Source organism: Homo sapiens, chromosome 20 (assembly GCF_000001405.40).
Source record: "Homo sapiens chromosome 20, GRCh38.p14 Primary Assembly".
Lineage (NCBI taxonomy): Eukaryota > Metazoa > Chordata > Mammalia > Primates > Hominidae > Homo > Homo sapiens.
Genome location: NC_000020.11, coordinates 48,887,682 through 48,899,892, shown reverse-complemented (window position 1 = coordinate 48,899,892; position 12,211 = coordinate 48,887,682). Strand labels below are relative to the sequence as shown.

The window sequence follows — 12,211 nt, the reverse complement described above, 5'->3', positions numbered from 1 at the left end:
GACAGTGAACAGGACAATATGTAACATGTACAGCATGGTAGATGGAGATGAGTGCTCTAGAGAAAAATAAAGCAGAGAATGGGGTAAGGGCAGGGCACGGTGGCTCACACCTGTAATCCCAGCACTTTGGGAGGTTGAGGCAGGCAGATCACATGAGGCCAGTAGTTTGAGACCAGCCTGGCCAACATGGCAAAACCCAGTCTCTCTACTAAAAATACAAAAATTAGCTAAGCATGGTGGTGTGTGCCTGTAGTCCCAGTTACTCAGGCGGGTGAGGCACGAAAATTGCCTGAACTCGGGAGGTAGAGGTTGCAGGGAGCCCAGATTGCTCCACTGCACTCCAACCTGGGAAACAGAGCAAGACTTTGTTTCCAAAAAAAAAGAAAGAAAAAGAAAGAGGTAGGAAGTGTTGGGGGGATAATGTTAAGTAGGTTTGCAAGGAAAGTCTCACTGAGAAAAAAATGGAAGGAGGTAAAGGAAGTTGGTGTGGGAAGAGCATTTCAGCAGAAGGAACAGAAAGTCTAAGAGCCATGCAGTGAGAGTGTGACTGGAGTTTTGAAGAAATAGCCATGAGGCTGGTATGGCTGGAATAGAGGGAACCAGGGTGAGAGTGGGAGGAGGTGAAGGCAGAGAGGCAATGGGGAGGAGACATGTCCTATAGGACCCCGTGGGCCATTGTGGGGACTATGGCTGCTCTCTGGGTGAGCTGGGAGCCGTGGAAGGCTCTGAGTAAAGAAAGCCCTGACCTGACGTTGGGTGCTAACAGGATCCTTCAGGCAATGTGGGAGAATAGACTGTCGGGGCAGGGATGGGACACAGACACCAGGGAGAAGGTGATTGCTAGAGTCCAGGTGAGACATGTGATGACCTGGCCCTGCGGTAGGGCAGAGGTGGATGAGGTGAAGGGTGATTGGCTCTTGGGTACATTTTTGTTTTTAAGCTACAGGATCTCTGTTGCCCAGGCTGGTGTACTATAGTGTGATCATAGTTCACTGCAACCTCGAACTCCTGGGTTCAAGTGATCCTCCCATCTCAGCTTCCCAAGTAGCTGGGACTACAGGCATGCACTACCATGCCTAATTTTTTTTTTTTTTTGAGACAGAGTCTCACCCTTGTCATCCAGGCTGGAGTGCAATGGCACAATCTTGGCTCGCTGCAACCTCTGCCTCCCCAGTTCAAGTGATTCTCCTGCCTCAGCCTCCCAAGTAGCTGGGATTACAGGTTCCCGCCACCACGCCTGGCTAATTTTTGTATTTTTAGTAGAGATGGGGTTTCACCATGTTGGCCAGGCTTGTCTTGAACTCCCAACTTCAAGTGATCCGCCCGCCTTGGCCTCCCAAAATGCTAGGATTACAGGTGTGAGCCACCCTGCCCAGCCTGGCTAATTAAAAAAATTTTTTTGTAGTGATGAGGTCTACTATGTTGCCCAGGCTGGTTTCCAGCTCCTGGCCTCGGGGGATTCTCCGGCCTCGGCCTTCCAAAGTGCTGAGATTATAGGCATGAGTCGCCATGCCTGGCTGTTTTGTGTGTGTGTGTGTGTGTGTGTACACGTGTGTGTGTTTGTTGTTGTTAAGAGCCAGAGTCTCACTCTGTTGCTCAGGCTGGAGTGTAGTGGCACAGTCATGGTTCACTGCAGCCTCGAACTCCTGGGCTCAAGCGATCCTCGGATCCTGGGTACATTTTGAAGGCAGAGCCAGCAGGATTTGCTGATGGATTGGAGGTAGAGTGTGGGAAAAAAAGAGGAATCCAGGATGATTCCAAGGTTTTGGCCAGCACAATGGGAAAAATGAAGGTGCCGTTTACTGAGATGGGGAGCCTGTGGGAGGAACAGATTTGTGGGCATGATCCCAGTCTCCACTCTGGACCGGTGGGGATGTCAGGTGGCAGTTGGATGTACAAGGGGAGCCTGAAGTTCAGTGAAGAGGCAGAGATACAAATTTGGAGTCATCCGCATATACAGAGATTTTCAAAGTCAGAGCCCAAATGGGATCCCTAGGGAGTAGGTGTGGGTAGAATAGAGAACAGGGCCTGTCTGGGATCCCCTGGGGCACGTCACATCTGGCAGGTGGAGAGGAAGAGAGAGAGCCAGGAAAGGAAGCTAAGAAGTAGCGGACACAGCAGGAGGAAGCCAAATGTGTCCTGGAAGCTAAGAAAGAAAATTGTTTCAGGAGGGAAGAAGTTAAATTTACCATGGGATTCACTAATTTCACTCCTAGGTGAGAAAATCTGTGTCCGTGCAAAGGTCCTCTGTGAATGTTCATAGTAGCATTATTCACAGTGACCAAAAAGTGGAGAGAGCTCACATGTCCATCAGTGGATAAATGCATAAACAAATGTGGTCTATCCCTACAATGGAATATGATTCAGACATAAAGGAATGAAGTATGACACATGCTACAACCTGGGTGAGTCTCAAAAACATAATGGTGCATGAAAGAAGCTAGACTCAAAGGACAAATATTACATGATTCTACTTTTTGAAATATCTAGAATCTGCACATTCATTGAGACAGAAAATAGATTAGAGGTTACCAGGGTCTGGAGGGGGTGGGGTGGAAAGAATTGGGAGTGAATGCAGAATTTCTTTCTTTTTTTTTTTTTTCTTTCTTTCTTTCTTTCCTTTCTTTCTTTCTTTCTTTCTTTCTTTCTTTCTTTCTTTCTTTCTTTCCTTTCTTTCTTTCCTTTCTTTCTTTCTTTCTTTCTTTCTTTCTTTCTTTCTTTCTTTCTTTCTTTCTTTCTTTCTTTCTTTCTTTCCTTCTTTCTTTCTTTCTTTCTTTCTTCACGGAGTCTCACTCTGTCACCAGGCTGGAGTGCAGTGGCATGATCTTGGCTCACTGCAACCTCCACCTCCCAGATTCAAGCGATTCTCTTGCCTCAGCCTCCTGAGTAGCTGGGATTACAGGTGCCCGCCACCACACCTGGCTAATTATTGTCTTTTTAGTAGAGACAGGGTTTCACCATGTTGGCCAGGCTGGTCTTGAACTCCTGACCTCAGGTGATCTGCCACCTAGGCCTCCCAAAATGCTGGGATTACAGGTGTGAGCCACCATGCTTGGCCTCCTTTTTTTTTTTTTTTCTTTTGGAGACAGTGCTTCACTCTGTCTCCCAAGCTGGAGTGTGGTGGCATGAGCATAGCTCACTGCAGCCTCGAACTCCTGGGCTCAAGTCATCCTCCTGCTCTAGCCTCCTGAGTAGCTGGGACTACGGGTGCACACTACAATGTCTGGCTAATTTTTCAATTCTTTGTAGAAATGGAGTCTTGCTATGTTGCCCAAGCTAATCTCAAACTCCTGGACTCAAGTGATCCTCCTGCATTGGCCTCCCGAGTAGCTGGGATTACAGGTGTGAGCCACTGTGCTTGGCTTGGATGCAAATTTTCAATTTGAGGAGACAAAAAAGTTTTGGAGGTGGATGTTGGTGACAGTTGTAAAACAGTGCAAATGTACTTAATGCTTCAGAACTGTACCCTTTTTTAAAGTTATTTATCAGATAATTTTTTATATACCTTAAGTTATAGGGTACATGTGCACAACATGCAGGTTTGTTACATATGTATACATGTGCCATGTTGGTTTGCTGCACCCATTAACTCGTCATTTACATTAAGTATTTCTCCTAATGCTATCCCTCCCCCATCCCCCCACCCCACAACAGGCCCCGGTGTGTGATGTTCCCCGCCCTGTGTCCAACTCTTCTCATTGGAACTGTACCCTTAATACCACTGGTTAAAATGGTCAATTTTATGTTATGTATATTTTACCAAACTTTTTGAAAAAGGAGAGAGAGAGCAACTGTGTCACATGCTGCTGAGGGGTCCAGGATGGATGAGGACTTTGAAGTGACCCTGGGATAGAGCCACATGCAGGGCGGGGGTGAGTAAGAAGAGAGAAATTTGAGATATAGACTCTTTGAGTTTTGCTGCAAAGAGAAGGAAAGAGATGGAGTTATAGCTGGAGATGAGGTCAAGAGACATTTTTTCACATAAAGATGAGAGAAAGGCTGGGCGCGGTGGCTAAGGTCTGTAATCCCAGCACTTTGGGGGACCAAGATGGGTGGATCACTTGAGGCCAGGAGTTCGAGACCAGCCTGGGCAACATGGCGAAACCCCATCTCTACTAAAAATATAAAAATTAGCCAGGCATGGTGGTACATACACGTAATCCCAGCTACTGGGGAGGCTGGGGCAGGAGAATCACTTGAACCCAGGAATCAGAGGTTGCAGTGAGTCAAGATTGTGCCACTGCACTCCAGCCTGGGCAACAGAGCAAGACTCTGTCTCAAAAAAGAAAAAAGAAAAAAAAGATGAGAGAAATGAGGGGCAAGATCCAGTAGTTAACCCCTCATGGTCCAAGCTGCCTGCTCTGCCAGCTGTCATCTTATGCACATTTCAGGTACCAGGGAAGCCGAAGGAGCACCTAGGTGCCTCGTTTCTTCCTTTAAGAACACCCCCTTGGCTGGGCGTGGTGGCTCACACCTTTAATCTCAGCGCTTTGGGAGGCCAAAATGGGAGGATTACTTGAGGCCAAGTGCTTGAAACCAGCCTGGGCAACATGGTGAGACCCTGTCTGTACAAAAAAAAAAATTAAAGAAATTAGCCAGTTGTGGTGGTGTGTGCCTGTAGTCTCAACTGCTCAGGAAGCTGAGGCAGGAAAATCACTTGAGTCCAGGAATTGGAGGCTGCAGTGAACTATGATTGCACCACCGCACTCCAGCCTGGGCAACAGAGCAAGACTCCGTCTCACACAGAAAAAGAACACTCCCTGCCCCCTCCACTCCCAGCTCCCCTCCATACTACATTTTCACACACATCCCCTTGACTACAACTTAGTCATGTGTAGTCTTTTTTTTTTTTTTTTTTTTTTTTTTTGAGACAGTCTAGCTCTGTCGCCAGGGCTGGAGTGCAATGGTGTGATCTTGGCTCACTACAAGCTCCGTCTCCCGGCTCCACGCCATTCTCCTGCCTCAGCCTCCCGAGTATCTGGGACTACAGGCGCCTGCCACCACACCCGCCTAATTTTTTTGGTATTTTTAGTAGAGACGGGGTTTCACCTTGTTAGCCAGTATGGCCTCTATCTCCTGACCTCGTGATCCGCCCGCCTCAACCTCCCAAAGTGCTGGGATTACAGGCGTGAGTCGCTGCACCAGGCCAGTCACGTGTAGTCTTAATTCCAGGCAACCATGAGCCTAACTAAGGTAGAAACGGAGAAAAGCCACGGTGTACTCCTCTCAGCCTTTGCCATAGTAGTCTATACTTTATAAGGGCCTTTCTCTCTTTTCTTCAAACTTCAACTCAACCACTACCTTCTGAGGCCCTGATAGGGGCTCAGCGAGGCATTTTGCACAAAGAATCTCAAGTAGTTCTTACAGCTACATGTGCACTTCAGGGGATATTGACTCTATTTTTCTTTCCTTCACGTCTGTATTTCTGGAGCCTACATAAGTGCCTGGTATATAATTGCCATTCACTTAATGTTTGTGATTATTATTATTATTATTATTTTTGTTGTTGTTGTTGAGACGGAGTCTTGCTCTGTCACCCAGGCTGGAGTGCAGTGGTGTGAGTTTGGCTCACTGCAAGCTCCGCCTCCCGGGTTCACGCCATTCTCTGGCCTCAGCCTCCCGAGTAGCTGGGACTACAGGCGCCCGCCACCGTGCCTGGCTAATTTTTTGTATTTTTAGTAGAGACAGGGTTTCACCATGTTAGCCAGGATGGTCTCGATCTCCTGACCTCGTGATCTGCCCATCTCGGCCTCCCAAAGTGCTGGGATTATAGGCGTGAGCCACTGCGCCCGGCCGGTTATTGTTTTTTGTTGAATTTTATGCATGAGAAAATTGCAGTTCAGAGAAGGGTGCCTGAAGACCCTGAGCTCAAACATGGGTCTTCTGATTGCTAATCTTCTGCTCCTCCTGATCTGCTGGTTAGCTCGGCATCACCATCGAGTAAACCAAATAACATGTATCTATCAGTGCACATGCATTGATGTTTGGTAACAACACCCCTTCACTATTCTCAGGAACCACCTCACTCCCATTCTTGGACTTTGTGGTTTGGGGGATGCTGACCCCACTGTCCAGCTGCAGGGGTTCGATGTATAACCCAGTATCTTGCCTTGTCACAGTAATTGGCTCAGAAACAGGCATGTGTTCCAAGCTGGACCAATGAGAATCCTGCCTGGGACTTCAGCTGGAAATATTGAGAAAGAGGACTTTCTACTGAAGTTGGTAAACTTGAAGGGTGTAGGTTTGTTGATGCTGAAACCATTGTCTGTCACCTTAGTGGAAGAGCTTGCCTAAGCATGAGGTCAACACAGAGGAAAGAAGAGCTAGAGATGGAGACATACTGACAACAGCATTGCAGTTGCTGGATCAAACTGTACCTGAAGCCAAACATCCCCTGGACTTTTCAGTTACATAAGCCAATAAATTCCCTTCTTCTGCTTAAACCAATTAAGGCTGGTTTTCTGTCACTTGCAATCAAAAGAGTCCTGACTAATACATCTATCAAACACATTTATCTTTATATTCAGGAGATATACTCCATGTACAGCAAAGAGCTGATTATTGTGGTGTCCAAGAGCATGAACTAGGAAACCAAATCTCATATGGAGCCGTCAGAGACCAATCAGAGAAGCAGAAATCCCACTAGGTATTCAAATAGAGGGAATATAATACAAGGAATTGGTCACACAGATGATAGAAGTGAGAAGCCAAATGGCATGTTAGACAACTCAGTGCTAAACCATAGCAGGAAGATGATGCCATCTTTGTTGGGGGAGGAGCAGAGAACAGTTGGTGCTACCATGCTGTGAAGTTGAAGCTGGGCCACCTGGCAGGAGACAGAATCCTGATGGCCTGCCCAGCTAGATCCAGGATCACCAAGGGACAGACTGTACAGCTGGATCTGCAGCCACAGATGAGGCACAGCAGCTGCTGATGATGCTTTGGAGGCACAGAGAGAGAGAACGAGAGAAAATATCCTGGATTCTCCCCTCCTTTCACCCTTCGGTCTACTGTGAGTGGTTCTCAACTAGCCAAACCCACCCAGAAACCAGTGAGATTACATATGTGCCACAATCCCTCCCAGAATCCTGGCACATAAGAGGCCCTTCCTTGGGAGGTATTGGTTGAATGTGAATGTGATGAAAAGAAAGATGTTTACAGTTTCTTCATCTATGTAGGGAGGATGAGGGTAAAAGCACCATGTGGGATGGGCTATGGGAGGAGGGGAGCTGATGCATGAAAGCATGAGCACAGCCACTGGCATCTAGTAAATGCTCAAGAAATGCCCTGGCTAGGTACAGGGGCTCACACCTGTAATCCCGGGGCTTTGGGAGGCTGAGGCAGGAGGATGGATTGAGGCTAGGAGTTCGAGACCACGCTGGGCAACATAGCGAGACCCTCATCTCCACAAAAAAATTTTTTAAAATTAGCTGGGCATGGTGGCACATGCTTGTAGTCTCAGCTATTTAGGAGGGTGAAGCAGGAGGATCGTTTGAACCCAGGAGGTCGAGGGTGCAGTGAGCCATGATTGCACTACTGCACTCCAGCCTGGGTAACAAAGTGAGACCCTGTCTCTAAAAGTAAAGAAAGAAAGAGAAAAGGAAGGAAGGAAGGAAGGAAGGAAGGAAGGAAGGAAGGAAGGAGGGAAGGAAGGAAATCCTCACAGCCACCATACAAGGCAGTATTACTATCACTGTTATCCCAATTTGACCAGGAAGGCTTAATTAGATTTAAAGCTGTAGTTCTCAACTGGGGATGATTTTGTGCCCCTGGGGACACTTGGCAATGTCGACAATGTCAATGGAGACATTTTTTTAGTTGTCACAACTTGGGGGGAGGAGCTGCTCCTGGCACCTAGTGGGTAGAGACGGTGCATACTGCTAAACATCCTACAATACCCAGGACAGCCCCCACTGCAAAGAGTGATCTGGCTGTCACTGTCCATAGAGCAATGGCTGAGAAGTTGTGCTTCAGAGACTTGCTCCAAGCCTGAGGCTCATAAGGGGCTCAAGCCAGCCAGGTCTGTCCGTGTCCTAGGCCACGTTCTTTTCAGTGCCCTGTACCACTGCACACACCAGCACCTTGTTTTCCCGGCAAGGTGTGTCATCCCCAGCAGGTGGGTGTCTTCCCTGGGGAGAGCCCAGCACACTTGACAACTGCAGCTGAACAAAGCTTGAGTTTCCTTTGCCCCTTCAAGTCCCTTCTTCTTCTCACCCAACTCCAGATACTGCTTTCAATTCCCAACTGGTTCTAGGAAGCATTCTTCCTCTTCTTCTTCCTCTTCCTCTTCTTCTTCTTCCTCTTCTTCTTCTTCTTCTTCCTCTTCCTCTTCCTCTTCTTCTTCTTCTTCCCCTTCTTCTTGTTCTTGTTCTTGTTCTTCTTCTTCTTTTCTTCTTCTTCCTCTTCCTCTTCTTTTTCCTCTTCTTTTTCCTCTTCTTCTTCCTCTTCTTCCTCTTCTTCTCCTTCTCCTCCTTCTCCTTCCTCTTCCTCTTCTTCTTCCTCTTCCTCTTCTTCTTCTTCTTCTTCTTCCCCTTCTTCTTGTTCTTGTTCTTCTTCTTCTTTTCTTCTTCTTCCTCTTCCTCTTCTTTTTCCTCTTTTTCTTCCTCTTCTTCCTCTTCTCCTTCTCCTCCTTCTCCTTCCTCTTCCTCTTCCTCTTTGTCTTCTTCTTCTCCTTCTCCTTCCTCTTCCTGTTCTTCTTCTTTATTCTTCCTTCTTCTTCCTTCTCCTTCTTCTCCTTCTCCTTCTTCTTATTCTTCTTTTTTTGAGACACAGTTTCACTGTCACCCAGGCTGGAGTGCAGTGGCATGATCTCGGCTCACTGAAACCTCCACCTCCCGGGTTCAAGCGATTCTCCTGCCTCAGCCTTCTGAATAGCTGGGATTACAGCCACATGCTACCACGCCTGGCTAATTTTTGTATTTTTAGTAGAGACAGGGTTTCTTCATGTTGGCCAGGCTGGTCTCGAACTCCTGACCTCAAGTGATCCGCCCACCTCAGCCTCCCAAAGTGCTGGGATTACAAGCATGAGCCACTGTGCCCAGCCACATTTCTTCTTATTTATAGAATCTCAAGTTTGTTGGGAAGGGCCTATCCAAGTGGCTTAGCCAGCCAGGCAGGCCCTCTGCAGGGAGCTTTGAAGATGCCATCTCAATTAATCCTTGCAACAACACTGCAAGGCTCATGCTGTTATTTCCTGCCCTTTACAGAGGTGGAGACAGAGGCTTACAAAGGTTAAGTGAATTCCCACAGGCACACAGCTAGGAAATGCTTGAGCTGGGACTAGAACCTAGGGCTATGTGATTGCAGAGGCTGGAGTCAACATCACCTGCCAAGGACCCTTCCAATCTCTCTTGAACACTTCCAGGAGATGGAGAACCAACCAACAAGAATGATCTATTTCTCCCTTGCTGGCCACCAGACCAATAACAAGAGTCAATTTCCCGCACAGCCCAACTGGTAGATATTCTGGGATGCTGAGGGATTTGGCACCAAAGGGGCTCCAGAATTTGTGTCATAAGTGCTGATGGGAGCTTGAGATTGTGGAGGAAATGGATCCAGAAGGTTTCGGATGGAGGGGTAGGAGTGCAGGGAGGAAATATGGTATTGGATAAGGGAGAGTTTATCATTCAGGAGCACTGTCCTGGGATACAGGCTCAAACACCCTGGCATTTCCCCAGGAGATGATGCTCACATGCTCCCAGGAGGGCAGCTTGGAAAAACGCTGGTGCAGACCAAGTGTGGTAGAAACGTCAGATCTGCCCCTGAAGCCCATGGAGGAAGGAAGCAAAGACCTAGAGAGGCAGGCCTGCAGGAATGAAGTGAAAAAACCCACCCGGCAAGTCCATTCTGCCAAAGAGCCCAGAAGATGCTCTATTTTCCAAACCCTTAAGACATGTGTGGGTGACAATTTCAGGGGTGGGAGCTGGCCTCTGTAGACCCGGGCTAATGATGGGAGATGCTGCTCCTGGCCTGGACTGGGCTCCCAGATAGGAGAAGGACTGCTAAGGTTGGCTGAGACAAAAGGTGGTTCCTTCCCTGGCATGGGGCACGGTGCCACCCAGACAAAGTTGGAGATTATTAGCAAAGAAGAAGGCAATGACTGTTGGATAGTCGGCCAATGAGAACTTCTTCAGTACTGTTTTTTTCCTGGTTGTTTTTGCAAGCACAAGTGGCAACATACAGTGCATATGGCTCTACCACTTGCTTTTGCACCCCAAAATTAATAGCATGATCTACCTTAAAAATAAACCCTGTAGCTTCTACTTCATAGAATGACTATACTGTGGTTTATTGATCAGTTCCCTTTTTGAGGGGCATTTAGGGTGTTTCCAACTTACTGCCATTCAGAGCAAAGTTTTGATAAATATCCTCATGCACATGTGTACGTGTTTCTCTGGCGCAGACAAAAGTGAAATAGCTCAGTCAGTGGGTGTATGCAATTTCACTTTAATAGAGATCCTGAATTTCCCTCCAAAAAGGCTATATCAGTTTATAATCAGTTTATAATCCCATTTCCTTACACTCTTCCCAACCCTTGATAACATCACACTTCCAAATGTGTATTTCATAACCAGTGAGGCTAAAGTTTTTTTCATATGTTTACTGACCATCTGTTTTTCCTCTTTGGTGAACTGCCCATTTCTGTCCTTTGCCTGCTGTTGTATTGGGTAGTTTGTCTTTTTAAAAATGAATCTGTAGTAGTTCTTTATATATTTTGAGCACCAATCTTTTGCCTGTATAAACTACAGATATTTTCTCCTGTCCTGTCACTTGCTTTTCAACTTGGTTTCTGATTTTTCTTCTTCTTGTTGTTGAGGTGATGTATACTTATAAAACTTCTAACAGCAATTCTTGGCATATAGTTAGCATTCAACAAGTAGTGGGATGACACTAGCTAGTGTGTATTAAAGGATTCCCCCATGCAAAGCAGGGCCAGGACTAGGGTGAAGCAAGCCAGACAAAATTTAAGGGAGCGTTAACAAACTTGGTAATTAAGATAAAGTATTTGTAATGCAATATTTACCAAAATCGAAATGAATACAAAAATCCATGACAAACAAAATGGCTTTTTTTTTTTTTTTTTTTTTTTAGACAGGATATTGCTCTGCTGCCCAGGCTGGAGTGTGGTGGTGCAATCTCGGCCCACTTCAACCTCTGCCTCCTGGGCTCAAGAGATCCTCCCACCTCAACCTCCCAAGTAGTTGAGATTACAAGCATGTGCCACCATGCTTGGCTAATTTTTTTTTTTTTTTTTTTTTTTGAGTTGGAGTCTCGCTCTGTCGCCAGGCTGGAGTGCAGTGCTGCGATCTTGGCTCACTGCAACCTCCACCTCCCAGGTTCAAGCAATTCTCCTACCTCAGCCTCCCGAGTAGCTGAGTGCACCACCACGGCCAGCTAATTTTTGTATTTTTTTAGTAGCGATGGGGTTTCACTATGTTGTCCAGGCTGGTCTCAAACTCCTGGACTCAAGTTATCCACCTGCCTTAGCCTCCCAAAGTGTTCGGATTACAGTGTGATATGGTTTGACTGTGTCCCAACCCAAATCTCAACTTGAATTGTATCTCCCAGAATTCCCACGTGTTGTGGGAGAGACCCAGAGGGAGGTAATTGAATCATGGGGGCCAGTCTTTCCCGTGCTATTCTCGTGATAGTGAATAAGTCTCACGAGATCTGATGGGTTTATCAGGGGTTTCTGCTTTTGCTTCTTCCCTCATTCTTTCTTGCGGCCACCATGTAAGAAGTGCTTTTCGCCCTGCACAATGATTCTGAGAAATTCCCCAGACATGTGGAACTGTAAGTCCAATTAAACCTCTTTTTGTTCCCAGTTTCGGGTGTCTTTAGCAGCAGTGTGAAAACCTAATACAACAGGTGTGACCCACAGTGCTTGGCCCAAAATACCAGCATTTTATTATTTATTTATTTATTTATTTAATTTATTTTTTTGAGACGGAATCTCACTCTGTCGCCCAGGCTGGAGTGCGGCGGCGTGATCTCGGCTCACTGCAAGCTCCGCCTCCCGGGTTTACGCCATTCTCCCGCCTCAGCCTCCCCAGGAACTGGAACTACAGGAGCCCGCCACCACGCCCGGCTAATTTTGTTTTAGTATTTTTAGTAGAGACGGGGTTTCGCTGTGTTAGCCAGGATGGTCTCCATCTCTTGACATCGTGATCCGCCCACCTCGGCCTCCCAAAGTGCTGGGATTACAGGCGTG

The 12,211-nt window shown here is 46.9% G+C and overlaps 1 protein-coding gene across 1 annotated transcript in view; it reads left to right on the top strand.

The window, feature by feature from the left end:
- Positions 1 to 11,707: 11,707 nt before the first annotated feature.
- PREX1 (phosphatidylinositol-3,4,5-trisphosphate dependent Rac exchange factor 1) overlaps positions 11,708 to 12,211 on the top strand; it is a 263,934-nt gene continuing 263,430 nt past the window's right edge. The window contains exon 1 of the mRNA XM_047440333.1: positions 11,708 to 11,793. The gene's annotated coding sequence lies outside the window, so the exon portion shown is untranslated. The remainder of the gene's footprint in view (positions 11,794 to 12,211) is intronic.